Here is a 25102-nt window from a genome sequence, read left to right as displayed (position 1 = left end):
ATGATGTGAAGCAAAGAGAGATGGGATGTGGTCAGCTGAGGAGTTTGCAGTCTTGGTTAAATCATCCTTGTGGGACTTGCCATACAGATGCCTGTTTTTAATGGATAAATATTTATGAATACACAATGCTAAACAAAGTGCATTGGTTGCTTTTCATGAGAAGGAAGCCCTTTCCATGTGGGTATCTAACCACTCGAAAGATTTCCTATAGAAGATCACTTTTGAATAAGGTTTTGAAAGTTGGCGATGATGCCAGCTGCCATTTGTTTAATGACTAACAGAAGTGTAGGTGATCACTGAAGGAAAAACAAAAATAGAAACCATGAGCAAATTAGCCTTATTGGAATGGAATAAATATGTTGTGATTCTTGAGTGTTGAGATACGACCAAGCATGGAGCTTGCAGCTAGGTAGACCTCTTGGGAGGTACAGACTCAGAATTTCACAGAGTCAAGGTTCAATGGGGCAGATGTAATAGATAATAGGGAGCTAACAGATGATGGTCTAGGCTAGCAGGAAGTATTGGGAGGTCTAGCTCAGAGGGGTGAGTGGGTCCCACCAGAGGAACAGTATACCTCTCCTAGCTTCCCAAACCTTCACCTGGTTAATTTGCCCCTTTAGACTTAGCTCAGGCATCCCTCCTTTTGACGCTGCCTTCTCCTCGCCTGTTCCCTACTCTCCCCTGCCTTAGCCTATTTAATTGTCCTCCTGCGTGCTCCCAAGCACCCTATTTATGTATCTATTTTAGCACTTATTAGGAATAGATTAAGATTTAAGAGGTCCCTTTTATTGGGGAGACCAAACTATTGTGTAACCCCACATAATAAAAATCATATTAAATTATAACATAAGGGTAAGGAGATCGTAAAGCTCTGAACTTGTCCATTGGTGATTGCTTTGGTTTTTTATATCAATTCTGTCGAACTCTTCTAAATTTTTCTTGATGTCCTCAGTGTCCTGCTATGCTGATATCCTAAATATGAGTTTACTCTGCCTGTTGGATAACACAGCTTCAACATTTATTTACTTAAATGACTCAAACGCATGTTTATTTCCACCAAAATACAGTGACCTTTACAAGAGAAAGAGGGTATGACTCATTCATCATTATAATTGCTAAAGATTGTCAATGAACATTTGTTGAGCTGGACTGTCAGTCTTGGGGGTCTTGGGTGACTCTAGGTAACCAGCTTTTCTAGGGGAAACTTCTTTCCATTGGTTTGATTCCCATCAAAGCTGAGTCTTAGGCAGCATCTGATGCTCACGCAGTTTATTCTGGCAGAACCCTTAAAAGACAGGTAGCGGGAGCAGGTGGTGGCATGGGCCTGGCACAGCCTGAGGGGCAGGTGACCCATTGACCAGGAGAGTTTCCATCCAGAGACCATTCTTAGAGTTTTGGGGATTCTTCCCCTTTCCTTATACCTGTATTCCTTCTGGGTCAGTTACAAGGTGTTTCTTTCACAAAGGGAGTTTAAGCTATTCTTGTAACGCTAAGCTTTGTTTTAAGGTTTATGAGAACTGCATCTGTGCTGAGGTAGTCTTGTCTCCTGGAAATTCCCAGGCCAAGGTTGCAAATCCCTGGGCCAAGATGCATCATACTGCTAAGTGACACAGAATATAGGCCCTGTGAGATGTTTGACTGGGCCCTATAACTATCATTAACCTTATAGCAATGATACGTCTCATAGAGTATACTATGTGGAGTTAACTAAACCCTGGTAGAAAATCAAGAAGTCAGTTGCTTCCAAGTCCAGGGTACCAATCAATAGGATTTAGGGAAACTTCTCAGTTTCTTGGTTTGAGGCATACTCCTTCCTTAAGAGGAAAACTGGGAGTGGAAGTTGGGGGGAGAAAAAAAAGGTTGATTGATTGAATGTTTTCCCATTCATGTTCTTTCATTTTTTTCAGTAAGAGCCTGCTGTCTGTCAAGCATTACTTGGCATAGAGGAAACAAAGGTTAACAGTGATATGCCCAATCTACAACATAACAAAGTTAGGATAATTGCAGCAATAACCTGGCTTGTTTAACGTGTTGTTTTCTAACTATTTTTCACTGTAAGTGGTTTGGCATTTCTTTTGACTTGTTGCTACCTATACTATTTAATAGTTGTTAGATATTTTCTCTATCAGCCTTTTTTTTCCTATAAGTAACTACAATATATTAATTAAACTACAGATTTCCATTTCCTGAGTCACTCTGGCTGATGTATAAAGAATAGAGTAGAAGGGGTCCAGCTGGGGACAGGAGAGAGGAACTGGTGCCCTAGGTTTGGGAGGTGCCTGTGGAGTGGGAGAGAAATGGGTGAATTTGAGAATGACTTAGGTGATGATGTTGATGGAATTTGGTAATTGACTGACTGTGGATATGATGAGAATGGGAGAAGTTAAGACTAATGTCCAGATTTCTGGCTTGGCCCATTGAGTGAGTGTAGATCCATTTACTGTATAAAAGAACATAGAAGGAGGATCAATTTTGTGCAAAGAGGATCAGTTCCATTTTGGACCTGTTGAACTTGATGTGTAAGGTGCTATCCAATAGATGTTCAAGATACAGTGAGCCTTGAGCTTTGCGTGTGGTGGGACCAATCAACCACAGGTAGCAGAGTTCTTTGTGAAGAGAGAGACACAGAATCAGGAAGCCAGGCGCTGAGTGGTGCTTCAAAGGCATAGGCTGCTGGGCTTCCTGGGTCTTTACACCCCCTTCCTATAGCCAAACATATAGTTCATGTATCACTCATCCACAAACGAAAAATTATGTCTAAAATTGCTGTCTAATTTGGCCTTCTGGGAGAGACTATTAACACAGTATGAAGCAGTTTTGAAGCCATCTCTGAATATGGATCCCTGATTAGGTACTGCAAATTCCTATCCATTCCTAGAGTGTGGATTCCAGATTTAGATATTTCAAATGCTGACTAATATACTCTACATATATATACTGTTCATATGGAAGTATTTTAAAGTAAGTTATCACTTTTTACCACTATACCAAGTCTGAAGCTCAACAGAAAGATCTGGGCTGGAGCTATAGATTCAAAAATCCTTAGCATATGTGTGGGAAAGCCCAAGGAGTATAGTGTGGAAAGCGAGAAGAGAAGGACCAGTGACAGACCCTTGGGAGATCCCAACATTGTAGATCTAGGTAAGGAAAGCAGATCCTAAAATGAAGACAAAGCATAGCACCCTGAGAGGTGGATGGAGAGAAGTCAGCAGCACTGTGTTATCCAGTTCAAGGGAAATGAGCGCTTTAAGGAAGAGGGGATAGTTAACAATATTAGATGTTCTCAGGAGATGCAATAGGTTAGGACAAGAAATGCCTTTCGAAGTGTGTTGTTGACTTTGGCAAGCAGAGATTCAGTGGCATCAGTGGGGCTGAAAACCAGATTGCATTAAGTTGAGGAGCAAATCAGAGGTGAATCTGTGCAGACACAGCCAACTCCTTCAAGAAGAGTATTCAGTCAATGCCTGAATCACACACTCTCAGAAAGGACCTTAGATTTCACCTGGTTAATGTCAAAATTGTTGCATGAATCCATCCCAACTCCTCATCATTTTAAAAGTAAATATTGAATGCCTACTGCATGCAAGGCCTGGAGCTAATTGTCTCAGGTTATTCAAAGATGAACATCGTCTTTACACTTAAGTAGTTTCCAGCCTGCTGGTGAAATAAGATACAGACAAGCTAACATTGCTATAGGTTGAAGTTATTGGAGTCACATGGCAACAAAATATGTTAGCTGTGGCGGGTACCCAAGTTACCGGCTGTGAATCCTTACGGGTTTTCAGCAACCTCGATTCTTCCCTCTTCAGAAGAAAGAATTCAAATAAAGCAAATGAATTCAAAGAAAGCAAAGTACCCTTGGAAGAGGGCCAAGAGGGCATCTCAGAGGACAAGTGCCCTATTTGACCTTGGACTTAGGGTTTTCTATGCTGGCATGTTTCTGGTGTCTTACATCCCTTTTCCCTTGCTTCTTCCCTTGGGGTGAGCTGCGCACATACACAATGGCCTGCTAGCACTTGGGAGGTGAGCATGGGCAGTGTGTTTACTAGAGTTGTACTTATGCTCACCTGACTCATTCTTCCCTTTACTGGTGGAACGCCCCCAGATGGACATACCAGTGAAACTCTGCCATTTTGCCTCTTAATGCACATGTTTGAGCCCATTTGCCCAAATCCTGAGATCTCATCAGGAGACTGATGATAACCAGTTTCAGGTGCTTTTTCTATCTATATGGAACCTGCCTTTCCTGGTGCTGGCTGCGACCAATTATTATTTTAGAGAGGCAGCGTGACAACTGCATGACCATCACCTGATGGTTGCCTGACATTCCTAGTGGGATGAGGGGAAGCCTCACCTCCCCTACTCATGCCTGACTATCTACCTACTATAACAACATGAGATCCAAGGATTCACAACCTATAAATTTAACTCTTTTTTAAATTATTATTACTATTTTTGAGATAGAGTCTCGCTTTGTCGCCCAGGCTGGAGTGCAGCGGTGTGATCCCGGCTCACTGTAGCTGGGACTACAGGCGCATGCCACTGTGCCTAGCTAATTTCTTTGTATTTTTAGTAGAGACGGGGTTTCACCATATTAGGCTGGTCTCGAACTCCTGACCTCAAGGGATCCACCCACCTCGGCCTCCCAAAGTGCTGGGATTACAGACATGAGCCACCATGCCCAGCTATAAATTTAACTCTCAGAGATAAATAGGAACAGAGATCCTACAGTAAGAAGAATAAGAGTTTGAATTCTGGCTTTAGACTACCTAGATTCAAACCATCTCCACCACTTAAAATGTGTATTATTTATTCTCTCTGCCTCATTCTCCTCATATGTAAAATAGGAGAAATAATAGTACCGACTTTGTAAGTTTTTTGCAAAGATTAACTGATAATTTATAATAGTTCTTTGAATGTAATAAGTCTGAATACATAACAGGAATTTTTAAAGCCTAAACTGGCCCTCTTATTGTACAAATGAGAAACCCAAGGCTCAGGGAATTTAAATGACTTATCCAAATATTTCAGCTGGTTAAGGTGAGAGGTGGGACTGGAACGTTAAATAACTGACTTCTAGTCTGGTGTTCCTATTTCTTACCAATGTTCTGTCTGTCTATCTGCAGTGAAAATTCAGGGAAAGCCATACTCATACGACATACATAATATAAAATTATCAATTTGGCTATCTCTCCCCAGCCAAAAAAAATTACTTTGTGTTTTAAATACTATTAACTAAATCAGTAACCCCAGAAAAAAAAAAAGTCTTGGAAATAAATTACCATGAATAAATAGTCATATATCAACGGTGTACATATTGGCAAGAGCTAGGAAATAAAGTGAGAGGAAGGACAAAAAAGGACTGTGTATTCCAAGCAGGTAGTACCCAGGACAGTAAGAAAAGTGGAATCCATTAAGTCAGTCTGTCCTAATTTTAAGTAAATGGCTTTATTTATGTACATGTTTGTGCAATTTTAATAATGGTTGCCCTGAAAGAAACCACTGCCTATTAAATGACTATTTAGTAATAACTATTTATTCTTTCCACATAAAGAAAGGAGAAGCCAGACTCCATAATTAACAGTTTAATGTGCTGAAATGAATGGTCTCTTGGACTGAACACAAAGCCAAAGGGAGGAGTTTTGAATACTAATTCTACAGCCTTGACTTTTCTACACGGGGCCCTGAGAAGCCCAGGAGAGACCAAAGGTTTCCCATTATACCTTAACAGAGGGGAATTATGTCTTCAGTTTTCTTTATTCATTCAACAAATACTTACTGAGCACCTGTTGTGTGATAAACATTATTCTTTGCACTAAAGATAGAGTAGTAAACCAGAGAAATGTGGTCCCTGAACTCGTGGAGGTTTACATTCTAAGAGAAATACGTAGAAAATAAAGGCACACACAAAAACGTAAATGAATGAGATGAGATGGGTACAGTGCTAAGAAGAAGCTGAAACAGGGTGATAAGATAGCTGTGGTGAGATGAACAGTACGGAAGGTGTTACTTTAGAGATAAGATGCCTAGCAGGAGGTAATACTTGAATTGAGATATGAATGGTAAGAAAGAAGCATACATACAAAATGTCTAAGGATAAATTATTCCAAGTAGAGAGAATAATGTATGCAAAGGTCCTGAGGCAGGGGTGAGCTTGCCTGCCTGAGGGCTAGAGTGAATGTTAGTGAGGTTGTAGCACAGTGAACAAGGTATAGTGTGGTTTTAGAAAAGATCAGAGAGGTAGTCATGGGCCAGATCATACAGGTCAGGGGCTTGCAAACATTTTTTGAATGTAACTCATATTAAGAAAAATGTTTTGTGTTGCAAACAAATACACACATAGCCTAACTTAATATGGTGATTTATAATAAGATAAATACATTTGGCATTCCTCTTGTTTTCTAGCACATAGCTCCTAAAACTCTTGGAATCTCCAAAGTGACAAGTGTCTTTTTGTATGCAAAGGAAATGACTGGTGGCTGGGGGCTCCTGGGTAGCCTCAGGATGGGGGCTGGTTTCCAGGGAAACTGAAGAAGTAATTAAAGAGTTAGAACTTTCATCTCCACTCCCCACTTATGGGGGATGTAATCAATCAAGCCCATGTAATGATGCCTCCATAAAAATCCAAAATGATTGGGTAGCTCCTGGATAGCTGAATATGCAGAGGTTTCTGGATGGTGGCATGCTTGGGGAGGCCACGGAAGCTCCATGCCCCTTCCTGCCTGTCTCACCCTATGCATCTCTTACCTCAGGCTGTTCATCTGTATCCTTTGTAATATCCTTTATAATAAATGACCATAAGTGAAAGTGTTTCCCTGAATTCTGTGTCACCCTATGCATCTCTTACCTCAGGCTGTTCATCTGTATCCTTTGTAATATCCTTTATAATAATGAATGACCATAAGTGAAAGTGTTTCCCTGAATTCTGTGAGCTGTGCTAGCAAGTTAATCAAACCTAAGAAGAATGTTGTAGGAACTCCAATTTATAGCCCATTAGTCAGAAGCCCAAGTCACAACCTGATGCTTGTGATTACCATCAGAATTGGGAGGCAGTCTTGTGGGCTGAGCCGTTAACCTGTGGGATCTGAGGCTACCACCGGGTAGATAGTGTCCGAATTGAAAGGACATCCAACTGATGTCTGCTGGAGAATCTGGTGTCAGTAGTCCTGTGTTGAGTGGTGTTGGTTTTTCCTATCTTTTATACCTTAATATTTAAAATTAAAAAGCATCACAAAATACTTTCCCTTACTACATATGGTGCACTGTGGCATTTTTATTCCACTCTATTTTTTTAATGTTGTCATGATTTACCAAACTGCATGATTAATAGTTCTTGATTTACTAGACTGGGGTCTTTCAGACCATAGTTAGAAAGTTTGGATTTTATTCCATTAGCATTGAAAAACCACTGGAAGACCACTGGAGTGTTTTAAGTAGAGTAGTGATATAAGTTTTAGGAAGATAACTCTACTTGTTGGTCAGGAGAAAGAGGATGTTGGCTTATACAAAGGTGGAAACAGTGGAAAGGATAAGACATGATTGGATTTGCTGACAAATCAGATATGGGCAAGAAAGAAAATAGAAGAGTCAAGGTTGATTCTTGGGATTTGGTCCAAGCACCTGAGTGAATATTGGCACTCTTAATAGATGTGTGGTTGATTGAGGAAGTAGCAGGTCAGGAAGTAGGGTATAAAAGTTCTATTTTGGACATGTTATACGTTTGAATTACCTATTACATATGGAAGTTGAGTTGTCAAGTAAGTGGTTGGATCTTTATATCAGGTGCTCAAATGGGAGATTAGTATCCATGACATTAACTGAGAATCATTCATTCTATGAGCTCCATGGAGCTGGATAACATCACCTGAGGAGACAGTGGAGATGGAGATGAAAAGAGAAATGAGAATCAAACCCTGGGAAACTCCAGCCTTTAAAGTATTTAAAGTCTGTCTGAGGAGGAAGGAGGTACGCAGGAGTTTGGCTGCCTTCTGTGTTATGAGATTTGCATTTTGGACAAAGCCATCTCTCAGTGTAGCTCCCTCTGACTCTTCTGTTGCACACTGGTCTTCTCCTCTGCTGAACTATCATAGTTTAACACGTAGTTGTCTTTAATACTGTTCTGGGGTTGTTTATGAATTCTCAGTGTTATATGTTCTTTCCTTAACTTCATCATAAATCTAGTGAGATCAAGGACTCTATTCTACTTATTTTATTACTGTCAGGCCATTAATTCATGCATATTTATTGGGTGTGACACCCATAGGTCATAGAGCGCTTCTGACCACAGAAGAATAGATGTTATATTAGTGCATTCTTACACTGCTGATAAAGACGTACCCGAGACTGGATAATTTATAAAGAAAAAGAGGTTTAAGGGACTCTAGTTCCACATGGCTGAGGAGGCCTCACAATCACGGCAGAAGGTGAAAGACATGTCTTACATGGTAGCGGACAAGAAAGAATGAGAACGAAGCAAAAAGAAAACCCCTTTTAAAATCATCAGATCTTGTGAGACTTATTCACTACCATGAGAACAGTTTGGGAGAAACTGCCCCCCTTGATTCAGTTATCTCCCACCGGGCTTCTCCCACAACATGTGGGAATTACGGGAGCTACAATTCAAGATGAGATTTGGGTGGGGACACAGCCAAACCATATCAGATGTCTAGTATATACTTTTTGCACCAAAAATCTTACGATGATAATAGTGAGCACCTTATTGCTAAGTAAGATCTATGAAAGTAGAATCATTTAAATATATTTGCCATCTAGAGTTAACAGGTGGTCAAATGACACAGTGTCATATTATTAAAATTTGCTATATTCTTCGTTGATAGTGATGAAAATTTTGTTTTCAAATTGCCAAAATTAGCTTTATGACTTTCCCCCTCCACAGGAGAAACTCTAGGAAAAGTCTCCTACTTTGAGGGTCAGTATTTAGAATATTTACTAAAGCAAATTAAGCAAAGATCTACAAGGCCACGATAAAGAGTGCAAGGCCTGTAAGGGCCTGCTTGCCCTACAGCATGGGTGTCTGTTCAGAATAACCTCTGTTCAGATATTTGAGATAACAGTTGAGATTTTGTTTAGCATGGCCAAGAAATGAGGAGGGACATCTAAGAACAAGAAGAGCTGGATAGGCTTTTTTGATTGCAAAGTTTCCTTAGCCCCAAGTTTTACTGGATTCTGGTGAACCACTTCACTGTGACATCAATCTTCATTTTATTCCTGAAAGTCTAAATGTATGTCAAGAGATATTTTCAGTGTGATTGCTTTAGGATAAGGGATTCCCCTTCCAAATTCATATTCCTTTAGGAAGAAACAGTATACATTTTTGAAGCACCCAGAACTTAGTCAAGTATATGTAGGTGTCTTTCAAATCAAGCAGAGGATGATGGGAATTAGGGTGGAAAAATTATCTTGTTCTGGCACACGGATGACATGATTGGGCTACATTTAAGCTCAGCTATACAGCTGCTTTCTATTCATTTTCAGAAATCAGTGTTCTGTCAAAAAAAAAAAGCATCCACGCTATGCAGAAAAATTCTAAGATCATTTCCTCCGAGAAAATTGCTTTGCGTCAGGGAATAGCTATTAGTTCAATACTTTGGGGGGGAATTGTTAAGAATTATATCAGGCTTATTAGAGAATCCTTAAGGCCAAATCAACTCAGAAAATTTTGAAATACAGTAGATGGTTTTTCAACCTTGACATGGGTCATCAGAGGGAGGAGTGATTTCGCTTTTTATAGAAATAGAGAAGGTCAAGCTAAGGCATACAGCATTCCAGAGTGTATTATGGCAAAGAGTTCAGAGTAGTAGTGTGTGGTGTAAATAGGTACATGACACTGTGCATGGGCCGTGCCTTCCCATACTGCTCGGCCTTCACGTTGCTCTTATCCCTGACTGGAAATACCTTCCCTACCCTCTTCATCTGGCTTATTTGTATTCATCTGTTAACGTCCACCTCAAATGTTTTAATCCTCCCCTCCTAGCCTGTTTCTTTTCTCCTTAACAACCTTGATCGCTTGCAGCCTTCTGCTGGGCTTCTGTAATGCCTTCTACCATAGCACTTCACTTGCTGCGTTGACATTTCCTATTTCCATTTTCCCCAGGAAGCTGAGGTTCTGAAGGGCATGGGCATTTTGTTACTTATATTTGTATCCCTAGCATTGAACACGGGACCCAATACATGTTAGGCTCTTGGAAAATGTTCTACTGATTTGAACAAGCTGTGGTCATGTCTGCTGTATATAACATGTTTATGGAAGGTGTTCACATCTCTGGGGAAGCTTAGCAAGGATTCCTAGATACAGTCATGGTGGTGAAGGGGCTCAGTGCAAAACTATAGAGGCTGGGTTTGAGGACTGACTGCGCCACATGATACGTGTACGGTTGTGGACAAGTTCTTTAACCTCTTCAAGCTTCAGTGTTTTCATCTGTGAAATGAGATAGTAATAATTATAGCACCTACTGAATAAGGCAGTTAGAAGGAGTGAATAAGATAACACATGTCAAGTGCTTAGTATAGTATCTCAGACAGAGAAACACTCAATGCAAGTTAGCCGTTATCTGTTGATGCAAGCAAATGCATGCATCTTGGTTCTCAGATTTTTTGTGTGACTTAGAAAATCTATTTAGTTTTTGTACTTCAAGTTCTCTCTACCCACGGAAGTTATTTAAACAGTGTGAATCAGTTGTTAAGCAAGAGAAGGAGAGGAAAGGCAGAGGAGAAGAGGAGTGATGGGGTGGGTTGGGGGGTGCGGGGAGAGAGAGAAAGAGAGAGAGATTCTTTGACCAAATAAAGAAGTCAAGGCAAAAAGCTAGGACGTGAAGTCTGTGCTTTGCTATATTGGTTGGCTTCTGCAATCCCTTTTTCAGGGGTTCCTTTCAAGGTAACTACAGAGTGTAATTCATTTGAATCACTGCTACCTGATAAAGCATCTAAACGAGTTTTTATAACCAAGTTGCAGGTGATTAAAGCCTGTAGCAGAGAGAATAACAGCCCTCCAAAATGTCTGTTTCCTTATCTCCAGAACCTGTGAATATGCCAGTTTCCATGACAAGGCAGAATTAAGGTTTCAGACAGATAAGTGACATAACTTCATTGAGCTTCCACTGTCTCATCTTGGCTGCTTATCTACTATTTTTCTCTGTGCTTCCTTGGATCTGCAGCTACTGCCTCCCTCCCACCTGGCCTCTGGAAATATACTTTGATGGACAGGCACCCAGACCCACCCCTAACATTTGTAGGGCAAGAGTACAAGTAGAGACCCTCATAACCTAGGATTTTACAGTTGACCTTTGAACAATGTGGGGGTTAGAAGTGCCAATCTCCCTCACCATCAAAAATCTGCAAATAAATTTTGACTCCCCAAAAGCTTGGCTGCTAATAACTTACTGTTGACCAGAAGCCTTACCAATCATATAAACATTTGATTGACACGTATTTTATATGTTATATGTATCATATACTATATTCTCCCAATAAAGTAAACTAGAAAAAATAAAATTAAGAAAGTCATAAGGAAGAGAAGATATACTTACTATCCATTAAGTAGAAGTGGATCATCATAACAGTTTTAATCCTTTTCATTTTCATGTTGAGTAGGCTGTGGAGGAGGAGGAAGAGAAAGAGGAGGAGGAGGCGTTGGTGTTGCTGTCTCAGGAGTGGCAGAGGTGGGAGAAAATCCAGGGATAAGCAGACCTGTGCAGTTCAAACCCATGTGGTTCAAGGGTCACTTGTACTTCAAAGTTATGAATCAAGCTAAGAAAATGTTCAATAATATATGTACTATCTTCCCTCTTTGACAAGCCTACCTTCATAATTACAAGAAAGACCACATTCATATTTGGAATTCTTGGACTCCTCAGTGTCCCATGATGGAACATAGTGACCTGGGAGAGCCAGCCTCCAGTACCTAACCCCAGCCTCTAGCCTACTCCTGTTTCCCTTTCCACCTGAGGATTTTCCTTGTGTGCCCAGCAGCCTCTTGGATAAGTGTATGGATGCTCCAGTCTGCATGCCCAAGCTCTATTCACACCATCCCCACTAATAGCCACCCCTCAGGCACCCCTTGAGCCTGATCTACACATACTGGCTGTGCCATCTATCTTCAGGATAAAAAACCTGGGGAAGGGACCTGGAGATTCTTGATAATGGGATCACGTTCTTTAGGGAAGGAAATTTCTGGATTCTAACAGTGTGTGCGAGAATTGGGGGCAAAGATGCTTGGTGGACACAGCCCCTTAGCTATGTAGAACTTTTAACCTCTGGAGAAGGCTATAACTAGAGGAAGCTAGAAAAGGCCCTACAAAGTGTAGGTCTTGGCCAGGTGTGAGAAAAGTACCGAGGGCACTCAAATAATAGTACTTTCTATGTTTTATTGTCTTGTCAAGCATCTCTTGGTGTTTATAAAATAGCTGTAACCTTTTTGGGTTAGTACAGTGTGACCCATCCTGACTACCACAGATTTCATGCGTCTGTCCCAAGGGCCTGGAGACAAACCAGATACATTAAACTTATTGAGATGTTCAGCAGCTCCTCAGCTTTTACATGACCAAAGCCTGATATCTGTAGAAGTCCATTATGCCAAATTCCATCTTTCCTTGCAAGAACTTCTTACAGGAAGATCCCTTAGTTCCTGGTGGGTCTGCACCAACAGTTCGTCCAACATACCCATTAGCATCTTCTTTATGGTCAAGCTGAGACTCCTACAACATTGGGATATATTACAAAAGTTGTCCACAGACAATTGTGATTAAAGGTAGGGGAAAGCCCTTTCTCCTGACTACCCACTGTAGCAAAGTCATGAGGAAAGTTTAACAAAAGGATGAGGACTACAGGGTCTCTAGAGATTTGAGTTGACTACATAGTTCTTTTCATCTTTAAATGTATTCCAAAGGTCAAGGATTTTCAAACAAAATAAAGTTTTTGTGTGTGTGTCTAATGCATCTATGTTGTAAATAAGAATTCACGAAGACAACTCAGAACTCTGTAAAGAGGGGTATGAGATAACACCAGTAATGTCCAGTTGAATGTAAAAGGCACCAAAACCAGGTTTGCACTAACACACTCAAATATATTTAAGTCGATGTTGCCAGGTTTTCAATCTTAGTGTTATGGGTTGAACTGGTCCCCAAAAAAGATATGTTAAAGATCTACCCCCTAGTACTTGTGAGTGTGGCCTTGCTTGGAAATAGGGTCTTTGAAGATGTAACGAAGTTAAGATGAGATCACCGGGGTGGATCATAATACAATAAGCTAGGTGTCCTTATTCAAACAGGAGATGAAGACACAGACAGAAGAGGGGAGAACACTGTGTGACAATGAAGGGAGACACTGAAGTGCCGCAGCTGCAAGCCGAGGAGTGTCAACAATTGTCAGCAAACCCAATGAATCTAGGAAGAGGCAGGGAGATCGCCCTTGCAGATTTCAGAGGCAGTGTGGTCCCGTTAACACATCAGTCTCAGACCTGTAGCTTCCAGAACCATGAGACAATAAATGTCTGTTGTTTTAAGCCACCCAGTTGGTGGCACATTGTCATGACAACCCTAGAAAGCTCATATGATGCATAAGAATGGGATGAAAAGACCAGGGAAACAGAAAACTTTACATATGCCATCCTCAGGAGGCACAGAGGAACCTCAGAAGGAGAGTGTCAGTATTTTCCCTGGGCTTCTTAATTGGTTGGTGAGAACATCGCAGCCCTGATTTATCTATTAAATAAAACAGACTTATTTAATATCTTCCAGAGAGTTTGAATAGAAAAATGAGCCGCCATATAGTATTATTAGTAAAACTATAGTCACAGTGACACCATGGCCTGTGGGTGAGAGGCTGGAAGGCCCAGCACTCATGGAGGGCTTCTCTCCCCAGATTTATGCTGGCTTCTACTAAAGGTTAGGGGTGGGGGAGATATGAAGAAAACAGATTCATTTCACTCTTTATAAAAGAGTATTTATTTTTTCCAACTCTTACTATTTCTTAGGAGGGTATAAGATTTGGTATTGAACTTACTTTTATATTTTATTTCTGTGCCTCATTAGGCTCACCAGGGGGAGGCTGAGCCTGGTTTACAGATCATTGATCCTGTCCCAGGGTTACGAACATAGACGGATCTAAAGTGGAAATAAGGTGACAACACAGGGACACTTTCCTCCTGAGTCATGGGAACTATTTTTAGACTCTTTCCTTTTAAACTTGGTAATAATGCCCGTGACCCCGCCATACATACATACACATCTACACCACTGACAGGCAATTAAGAATTGTAAACAGGCCAGGTGCAGTGGCTCACTCCTATAATCCCAGCACTTTGGGAGGCTGGGGCAGGTGGGTTGCCTGAGGTCAGGAGTTCAAGATCAGCCTGACTAACATGGTGAAACCCCATCTCTACTAAAAATACAAAAATTAGCCAGGCGTGGTGGTGCACGCTTGTAATCCCAGCTACTAGGGGGGCTGAGACAGGAGAATTGCTTGAACCTGGGAGGCGGAGGTTGCAGTGAGCTGAGATCACGCCACTGCACTCCAGCCTGGGCAACAGAGCAAGAGTCCATCTCAAAAAAAAAAAAAAAAAAAAAAAAGGATTGTAAACAATTATTTGACAGAGAAGATTTGAATAGTGCATGGTTGCAATGGCATGAATATTCAAGTGTATCGTGTTTACTTGCTGATAGGAGAACATTTCCTTTCAATTTAGTAAGTACTAATAGTGACATTTGAAAGTCAAGTTCCCTGTTGAAGTATGTTATGTTGTATTTCATAATGCTGAAGTACATTAGAGAGTATAATAAAGGTTATAATGTAGATATGGGAAGCATTTGAACTGTATTATCATAAAAGCATGTTTAAACGTGTTTAACAGGTAATCCTTCAGTTCTAACCCCAAGTGAGAGAGAGAAGAAAGGTGGGAGGGAAAGAAAGATACCAGGAAGCCGGGAAAGACAAAGAAAGAGGAAAAGAAAGGGAGTTGGATCAAGTATTTTAGATTTGTGCACAGCTCCAGGAAAACTTCAGCAAGGCTGTGGGGAAACTATGAAGCTAAAATCACCATGGGAGCATCCTATGTTTCCCAGAAATAGCCCATTTTAGTCACTGGGCTGTGCTTCATCATTGGTTGGGAGCAACTACGGAGATACGTGGATTCAGTGCAAACCTCAAAGCAACTGGTTGTCTATATAACATCTCCTTTTGCCCTGGCCAAAAGGTAATTAAGATAATAAATACAGGCTTTAAGTCTCTACAGCCCCCTGCAATTAGATAGATCTGAGACTGATCTCTCAGACTTGGGGTTCATGGACTGCTCACAAAATTTGCTGCTGTTGGAGGAACAAGCCTTTGGAGGAGGTCCACTGGCATTTCGCTTCACTCTAAGTTCCTCATGAGCTCATTTGGGGATCTATGGGCAGTAGAACGTAACATTTATGAATTGAAATTGCACTACTGGCTGGTGTACATTTCATATATAGGAAATTGCCAGATTGAAGAAGAAGAGACAAAACCTAAGTGGCTAAGGACAAGCAGAAAAATCATCTGTCTACAGATGATATATATGGCATTCAAATTACCCTTTAAGGGAGAATTTATCTGTATGCATAGCACCTGGGCACCAAGTGTACAAAGATTAGTAGGGTGTTTTCCTGCCCATGAGAGAGTCACATATATTCAGATACTCATCATCGCTGACTGGTATCCTCAAAATTTGTTAAGACCAAGAATGGAGGTGTCGGCCGTTGAAGAAAAGATGTAGAATAACCCACTTGCAGTTCTTTTTCCCCACTGAAGACAAATGGTTTTTCAAGGCCTTCACTTGAATGATATCAAAAGTTTGGCCACTTTTCCCCTTTGGCTAACTAAGGAAACAGACAAATCTTTGAGGATCAATGGCTCTACTCAGTTATAAGTGAGAACATGTAGTATTTGGTTTTCTGGAAGTGGGAGCTATACATTAAGTACACATGGACATAAAGATGGGAACAACAGACATTGGGGATGACTAGAAAAGGGGGGGGGGGTCAGGGCTGAAAAACTACCCATTAGGTATTGTGTTTACTCCCTGGTTGATGGGATCATTTGTACCCCAAACCTCAGTGTTATGCAATATACCCACGTAACAAACCTGCACATGTACTACTGAACCTGAAATAAAGTTGAAATTTTTTGAAAAATGGATCTACCCCAAATCTCAGCAGAAAACAAAATGCTTGGTAGGAAATATGAAAAACAAAACAAACAAACAAAAAAACCCTAAACTCATAAACCACAAGGATCTCACAGGAAGCATAACAGCCCTACTCCAAAGAGAAAAAAAGTCTAAATGCCAAAGGTACTTTCCATAGACCAGGGCACACCTTCAATTGTGTGAAGCTGGCCCATATTACTGGGGATTCAGACCAACTGATGGAGGGGAGAGAAGAGAGGAATCCCCTGAATAGAACTCCAGGGCCCCTTTGCCTTCCCTGAAAACCTCTCTCTTGAAATACTTTAAAGAGAATAGAAACCACAGGGAGACTTCCTGGTCCTTTTCAAATGAGATTTTTCAAGCAAGGTACAGGAAAACAAGGAGGAGTTGCAATGAGAATCCACCCATTTTATGTTTGGGCAAAAGGCAAGCCTGCGTAGAATAGCGTTCACTGTTCAGTGATACCTAGACAGGCCAGGCGCGGTGGCTCATGCCTGTAATCCCAGCAGTTTGGGAGGCTGAGACAGGAGGATCACATGAGATCAGGAATTCAAGACCAGCCTGGCCAACATAGTAAAACCCTGTCTCCACTAAAAATACAAAAATTAGCCTGGCATGGTTGTGGGCACCTGTAATCCCAGCTACTTGAGAGGCTGAGGCAGGAGAATCTCTTGAATCTGGGAGGCGGAGGTTGCAGTGAGCCAAGATCGCACCACTGCACTCCAGCCTGGGCGACACAGTGAGACTCTGTCTCAAAAATAAATAAATAAATAAGTAAGTAAATACAAAGACACCTAGACATAAAATATCTTGCCTATGTTAAATTTATGCAAAAGAGAAGGTAGCCAAAGGGTAAAAGAAAAAAAGTCTAGCATGCAGAAGATTAATTCAGGAACACATTTTGGAGGAAAGCACACTCAAGGAATTAGAAGAAAATTTTAGACAAGTGTTTTCCAACATGGAGGAATTTAATAAAATTTAAGGTATATCATCTACTGTTCTGAATGAAGAGATCAAAGATGAGACGATAATTTAAGTGAATTCACTTTAAGGGCAGCTAGCCATATTAAGGAAAGAAACTGAAGAGAAAGTAATTGCCATCATGGAAATTAAAAGCTCTTTAGAAACTCGAAGTACAGAATCAGCACTACAGAGCTGAGTCAGTGATAGGAAGGAGAAGACTGAGAAAATCAGCCAGAGTTTAGGGAAAAAAGAGTTAAAACAATTAATCAGTTATAATAATTTATATTTTGAACATATATTCTGTGTAAAGCATTGCTCTAAATTCTTGTGTTAACTTATTTAATAAGGGAGAAGATTATAGATATGGAGGCACGAAATAAATATCAAGCTTATGGATCATTGTTATACCTGAAGATAATATCAAAACAACAACAGAAACAAGTCAGGTGTGGTGGCTTACCACCTGTACTCCCAGAACCTTGGGTGGCTGAGGTGGGAAGACTGCTTGAGGCCAGTAGTTCAAGATCAACCTTAGCAATATAGCGAGACTCTATCTCTACAAAAAAAATAAATAAATTTTAAAATTAGCTGAGCATGGTGGCATAACCTGTAGTCTCACTTACTCAAAAGGATGAGATGGGAGGATTGCCTGAGCCTAGGAATTTGAGGTTACAGTGAGCTATGATTGTGCCACTGCACTCCAGCCAGGGAAACAAAATGAGACTTTGTCTTAAAAACCAAACAAACAAACGAATGAATTCAGGGCAGGGCACGGTAGCTCATGCCTGTATTCCCAACACTTTGAGAGGCCAAGGCGGGCAGATCACTTGAGGTCGGGAGTTTGAGACCAGCCTGGCCAATTTGGTGAAACCCCGTTTCTAAAAATACAAAAATTAGGCGGGCGTGGTTGTGTGCACTTGTAATCCCAGCTATTTGGGAGGCTGAGGCACAAGAATCGCTTGAACCCAGGAGGCGGGGTTGCAGTGAGCCCAGATCATGCCACTGCACTCCACCCTGGGCAACAGAGTAAGACTCCATCTCAAACCAAAAAAAAAAAAAACAAAAAAAACAAAAAGAAAGAAATTAATTCAAACCCAAATCTGCAGATCAAGATGAGGCAAGATGTTCTAAGCATGTGTATCACAAAGCAAGTAGCACAAAGATTGTAGTAGGTTGTTGAAATGCAAGGATTTAGAAATATTTCTACAAGCATACATGCAAAAGAATATACATCATCCCTCAGTATCTGCACAGGATTGGTTCTAGGACCCTGGTCGATACCAATATCCGTGGATGCTCAAGTCCTTTTTATAAAATGGCATAATATATGTGGATAACCTACACACATCCTCCCTTATACATTAAAACATCTCTAGATTACTTATAATGCCTAACACAATGTAAATACTACATAAATAGTTGTTATACTCTACTGGGTTTTTGTATTTATATTTTTTAATTGTTCTTGTTTTTTGCTTTTTCTCATATCTATATATAGATATAACATAATATTATATAAATATAACTATGTATTATAATATGTATTATATAAAATATAACTATATAATATTATAATATATAAAATATAACTAATATAATATATAAAATATAACTATATAATATTATATATGATATATCTATATATGTATTAATATCATATCATAGTTGACCCTCCATATTAGCGGGTTTCAACCAACCATAGATTGAAAATATTGGGGAAAAAATAAGAACACAACAACGAAAAATGCAAATAACAAAAATACAAAGTAACAATATAGGGTCAACAATATCATAGAGAAAAAAATTAGCCTGGATCCAGACTTTTTCCTTAGCAGCATTGTGTCCCAAAGACAATGAAGCAACAGCTACACAATTTGAGACAAAATAGTGTAACAAAAGTATTATATAACCAGTTAAGTTATAGCTCATATAAAAAGAAAATAGAAATATATGAATAAATATTCAAAGATTCAGAACATTTTAAAGACTCAGGAAATAGATCAGATATACCCTACTGAACTGGAAAGTGATAATAATTTCAAAAACTCGTGTAGAATGAGTGGACTAGTAATGAGATTAAAGTCATTTGAGCAAACAATTATTCACAATATCTATTGGAAATATTGGCTGTACAAAAGAAAGCAAGTATACCATACAATATAAAGTAATAATAATTACACTAGGATAAAGGGACATAATCCTTTTTTTTTTTTTTTTGAGACGGAGTATCGCTTTGTCACCCAGGCTGGAGTGCAATGGTGCAATCTCGGCTCACTGTGATCTCGGCTCACTGCAACCTCCGCCTCCCAGGTTCAAAAGATTCTCCTGCCTCAGCCTCCCAAGTAGCTGGGATTACAGGCATGTGCTACCATGCCCGGCTAATTTTTGTATTTTTAGTAGAGACACGGTTTCACCATCTTGGCCAAGCTAGACTCAAACTCCTGACCACAGGTGATCTGCCTGCCCTGGCCTCCCAAAGTGCTGGGATTACAGGTGTGAGCCACTACGCCCGGCCAAGCCCGGCCCGGCCAAGGGACATAATCTTGAAGCATGCTCCAATAAAATGAAGATGAGAGAAAGTAAGCTATTCCTGGTCTTTTATGTGCCTTTTTTTCTGTATGTATTATTTTATGTCTGTACTTAATATATTAAGAACTTTGTTAAAATATGCTATTTAAAGTTATAAAAGTGACTACTAGTAAAATAAAAAAGAGACATATCTCCATCATGTCATAAAGGGTGAGAAGCAGAAGTGATACAGCAAAAACATAAATCAAAATAAATTATAGGAAGCATAAACACAGACATACCCAGAAAGATTGACCTTGGGTGATCCCCATACAAATGTTGATGGGAGAGTTCTTCTGAGTGGTGAACTTTTAGGGGATTTTAGCTTTATTATAATCCCTTTTTATATGACCTGAATTTTCTACAGCATGCATGAAATATCTCTGTAAACAAACTACATGCATAGATTGTAGTTAAGAGATGATACATATGTACAGCGCCCCCACACATGTGACAGCGTTCTTTTGGAAGGAATCGCAGCCATTATCCCCTTCTTCCTTAGAGTTATTCTTTCTCTATATACTATGGGAGATCCATATTTACTTAGTTAACTAGGAACAGCAGGTGTTCCACTGCAGTATCTTAGTCACTATGGTTGGTCAAGGATGTCTCGCCTTCCTCATTTACTAAGTCATCCCACAGACATTTACAGCCAGCCCACGATGCTCTAGTACTTGGTAGGTTCCAGGGACACAACAACAAATAAGATGTGCCCCCAATCCTCAAGAAATTCAAAGTCTAGCAGGGAACCTAGTTCTCAAAGGTAGTACTACCAAAGGTAGTACTGAGTTAGTTCATTGTAAGTGTCCTGAGTTAAAACCCTGAGCCTGGGTGCTAAGAGCCCCAAGTCCTAAATGTAATGGGTAACTTGAGTCTGTCTTTATCCTGCTTGTGATAGAAAATGTGTAAATGCGACCTAAGTCTGCTTTGGGGTCTGATGCCTGATGGCTTCATTTCTGCAGACAACATCTGCATGGGAAGATTGGGGGAAGTGGGAGTTTTGGGGTCAAAGGAATGGGGGCACCTTTGCCACTAGACAGGGAGAATTTTTACTTCAGCAAATGTCAGCATTTGGAGCTTACTGTCAAGGTAGAGACAGGGCCACATCTCTTCTCTGGATCATTCCTATGTAAAATACTCATGAGAGAAAGTGCCTGTACTCCTGCCCAGGGCCATAAGTACAGACAAGCTTTTGCGAGTATTTTTTTCAAGCCTCAGCTTATCAAGTAAATAATATACAAAATGAACTGACAAGGAAGACAAAAATATGGAACACCAAACTCTGAATTTTGAAATGATTAGAATGAATTAGACTTTAGTGAAAGATCACCGCAGTAAAACTTAACTTTCCAGTAATATGTTGTGGTGGAGAGTAATTCATAAAACTAAAAATTGAAGCAATAAAAATAATAAGCCGCTTATCAATATCTCAGAAGTATTTCTGTTTCCTAAGTAGGTCTTTTTTCAGTTCATTTTCAAAAGGTAATAATCAGAATAAATATATACATTTAAAAGCATTTTACATTTTCTGAGAGTCTCAGTATTTAAACTTTGAATTCATGAACCTTAGCACAATCTTATATTTACTTTTGCTTCTGAACTACATATTTAATTGAATTATGCACCCGTACACACTCTTCTTGGATAATATGGCAATTTTTACATGAGAGGGAGTTGCACGTGCATGTTCCCAGGGAAGAGTAATACATTCTGTTGGTTAGATAGAACAGGGAAAATTTATAATAGCCAGGGCAAGAACACTTCTGAGAATAGAAAGCTTTTCGTTTGTTTGTTTGTTTGTTTTTAAGTAAAGAAGCCTGGGTGCAGTGGCTCCCGCCTGTAATCCCAGCACCTTGGGAGGCCGAGGTGGGCGGATCACCTGAGGTTGGGAGTTCAAGACCAGCACGGCCAAGATGGTAAAACCCTGTCTCTACTAAAAATACAAAATTAGCCGGGTATGGTGTAATCCCAGCTACTTGGGAGGCTGAGGCAGGAGAATCACTTGAACCTGGGAGGCAGAGGTTGCAGTGAGCCGAGATCGCGCCACTGCACTCCAGCCTGGGCAACAAGAGCGAAACTCAGTCTTAAATAAATAAATAAATAAGTAAATAAATAAATAAATAAAAAGAAAAGTAAAAAGTGAGTCTACATATATTCTCATAATCATCTACACATGTCAAGCTCCTTGTAAGAGAACCTTGGAAAAAATGACGTTTAGCAGAAAAAGCTGTTCATTAAACACCCGATGCCTATGTATGTCAAATATATTTAGAAGTACATTTATCAAAATCGACAAACCTCTTTGGAAAAGAACCTTGGTCTAGTGGTTACAGCATACATGATTTTTCTTTTCTGGTGGCTCTATCTCATCAAAGTTTAGTTGAAAGTTTTCTGAAGAATGGACTTTATTTACAGAAAACGCTGAAAGGCTGAGAGGGGTCTAAAGGAGATGTGGCCACCTCAGGTGATACTCTTCACAGTTTTCCTGCAGGGAAAAACTGTCTTAAAGAGTCCATATGACTGATTTCTGTCATTCCTAGTGTATCATCATGATGAGACTTAGGATAGCATATTAAGAAATTCAGCCGTTGGGCACTTGAAATCATTTTACATTCAATCTTCTATTAAACCAGTTGTGGGTGTGTGGTTAAGGTAATCCCATCAACTCTAACAGCAAAGTCCCTGAATCTTAGTGTCTTAACACAGGTTTATTTATTGAACATGTAATTTCCAAAGCGGGTGTTCCTGAACAGCAAGTCGGTTCTCCAAGTGGCGATTCATAGATCAAACATCCTTCCATGTTATGGCTCTGCCATCGTCACCAGCTAGCCTTCAAGGTCTCTGGCTTGTTTGCATCAAGCTAAATGGGGAAAGAGCATGGAGAATCGTGGGCAGGGGATTTTCCTATCCAGGCCTAGAAAGCAGCCCATTTCATTTCACTTACTTCCAAGTGTTGAAACTCGGTTGTACATCACAACTAACTGTGAAGGAGCATGAGAAATTCTGTCTTGCTGCATGCCAAGGGGGAAAAAAAAAAAAGAAATGAGTTCAGTGATCAACTGACCAATCTCTTCTAAATCTACCTTCTGGTTTCCATATATCTGTTTCATTTTTCTTCTCACACATAGAACACACCTATAAACCACCCATGTGCCAAAGACAACCCCAAATCCCATTCTGCTTCTGTGTCTGATTCAACGAATAAGATCCTTCCAGTGATGTGCAGCCATCTGTCAGAACGAGATATGGCGCCTTGTGGTTTATCTATGAACAGAAGGACCAGTTAGTTACCCTCTCCTCACAACCCACACCTCATGCCCAGTGTTTGATCCCACAGTAGAGAAAGGTTAAGCACACTAATAAATTCCAATTAGGAAAAGTGAAGAATGGGAGGCAGACAGCATTCCCTGGACCAATGCAACTACAGATTCTTGCTGGGCAGGTGTCCTGAATGTGTCAACTTCAGAAATGGGGGAAATCTGTTGATTAGATCTTCACACACAGATGTATTCTTTTGTCTGTCCTTCTCTGTGGTCACAACATCGGAAGTGGGCATTGTGGTACATTCTCTCCTTGACGAGCTGCCTGACTTTCATTCTTTTTTCTTTTCCTTTTCTTTTTTTTCTTTCTATTTCTTTTCAACAGGATCTTGCTCTGTCTCCCAGGCTGAAGTGCAATGGTGCGATCACAGCTCACTGCACCCTTAAACTCCTGAGCTCAAGTGATTCTCCTGCCTCAGCCTTCTGGGTAGCTAGGACTACAAATGCATGCCCTACTAATTTTTTATTTTTGTAGAAACAGGTTCTCGCTGTATTGCCCAGGCTGGTCTTAAGCAGTCCTCCCACCTTGGCTTCCCAAAGTGCTAGGATCACAGGCATGAGTGGATCAGGCTGGCTACCCTACGTTCATTGCCCACTTCTCAGGCTGGTACAAATTGGCAGACCTAAGTGTTGTCTTAGAGTTCAAGAAGTCAACTGCTTTGGCAAAATCCAGGCTCAGGGATTTTCTGACAGCATAATTGTCTCAAGAACTTAGGAATTTCTGATGTTTGTTCTTTCAGTCAGCTCCCTATGTCAGCAATTATACCCAAACTTTCTATTAACTATACTTGTCAAATCTGCTTTCATTGCTTCTTTTGCCCAGTGCTTCTTTCTCAACATAATTATGGATATGTTGTGGCCTTGTGAAAGTACAAGCTTGAGTGGGAAGGTAACGTTTTTAAATGAGTCTTTGTTGCAGGGCTGAATCATTTCTTTCAACTGAAATATCTTTTTACTCCAAGATACTATTTGCTATTTGATATATATAAACAGTCTGGATTTTCTAACCCTACAAGGGGCTTGATCTCCAATCACTTCTAACTCAGCTAGAGAAGTAGCCAATTCTTTCCTAAGAACATCTTTATTTTTCGTTTATCTATTTTTATGGCAATAACATACCAACAGCAGCCAACTGTAACAAATACACACTGATTTTTTTAAAAAAGATTTTAATAGTTTTTGGGAAGCAGGTGGTTATTACATTTTATTACATTAATATGTTCTTTAGTTGTGATTTCTGAGATTTTGGTATACCCATTATACCTGAGCAGTATACACTGTACCCAAAATGCTGTCTTTTATCCTTCAATCCCACCTCCTCCCATGTCCCCAAAGTCCACTGTATTATTCTTATGCTTTTGTGTGCTCATAACTTAGCCCTTACTTATAAGTGAGAACATACAATATTTGGTTTTCCATTCTTGAGTTACTTCACTTAAAATAATGGCCTCTGACTCCATCCAATTTGCTGCAAAAGTCATTATTTCGTTCTGTTTTATGGCTGAGTAGTGTTCCACGGTGTACATATACCACATTTTCTGTATCCACTTTTTTTTTTTTTTTTGAGATGGAGTCTCACTCTATTGCCCAGGCTGAAGTGCAATGGCGTGATCTCGGCTCACTGCAACCTCCACGTCCTGGGCTCAGGAGATTCTCCTGCCTCAGCCACCCAATTAGATGGGATTGCAAGGGCCTGCCACCACACCTGGCTAATTTTTTTGTATTTTTAGTAGAGATGGGGTTTCACCATGTTGGTCAGGCTGCTCTCGAACTCCTGACCTTGTGATCTGCCCGCCTCGGCCTCCCAAAGTGCTGGGATTACAGGCATGAGCCACTGGGCCCGGCCTCCATTTGTTGATTGATGGGCATTTTAGGTTGTTTCCATATTTTTGCAATTGTGAATTATGCTGTTATAAATATGCATACAAACAGATATTCTAACTTTCCCTACCTACTTCTCCCAGAGTTAGAGGCTAATTGAAGATTTAGTTGGTCAATACATGTAGGAACATGTATTGCAGATGATAGACTTAACAAATGTTTTGTCTCCAAATAACACATCTCTATC

General features: G+C 40.2%; 1 protein-coding gene across 22 annotated transcripts in view, besides 2 other annotated features; it reads left to right on the top strand.

Annotated features, from left to right (window-relative positions):
* RGS7 (regulator of G protein signaling 7) overlaps positions 1–25102 on the top strand; it is a 582489-nt gene that overhangs the window by 294912 nt on the left and 262475 nt on the right. The window lies entirely within an intron of this gene.
* Positions 16186–16744: an enhancer, noted in NCBI's record as "OCT4-NANOG-H3K27ac hESC enhancer chr1:241208875-241209433 (GRCh37/hg19 assembly coordinates)". NCBI's record gives its function as "activates a minimal SCP1, AML or CMV promoter by ChIP-STARR-seq in primed H9 embryonic stem cells {active_cell/tissue: H9 hESC(primed)}" and the evidence as "EXISTENCE:reporter gene assay evidence [ECO:0000049][PMID:30033119]".
* Positions 16745–17303: an enhancer, noted in NCBI's record as "H3K27ac hESC enhancer chr1:241208316-241208874 (GRCh37/hg19 assembly coordinates)". NCBI's record gives its function as "activates a minimal SCP1, AML or CMV promoter by ChIP-STARR-seq in primed H9 embryonic stem cells {active_cell/tissue: H9 hESC(primed)}" and the evidence as "EXISTENCE:reporter gene assay evidence [ECO:0000049][PMID:30033119]".

Source organism: Homo sapiens, chromosome 1 (assembly GCF_000001405.40).
Source record: "Homo sapiens chromosome 1, GRCh38.p14 Primary Assembly".
NCBI lineage: Eukaryota > Metazoa > Chordata > Mammalia > Primates > Hominidae > Homo > Homo sapiens.
Note: the sequence above shows the minus strand (reverse complement) of the source record. Positions and strands in the feature narration are given on the sequence as shown.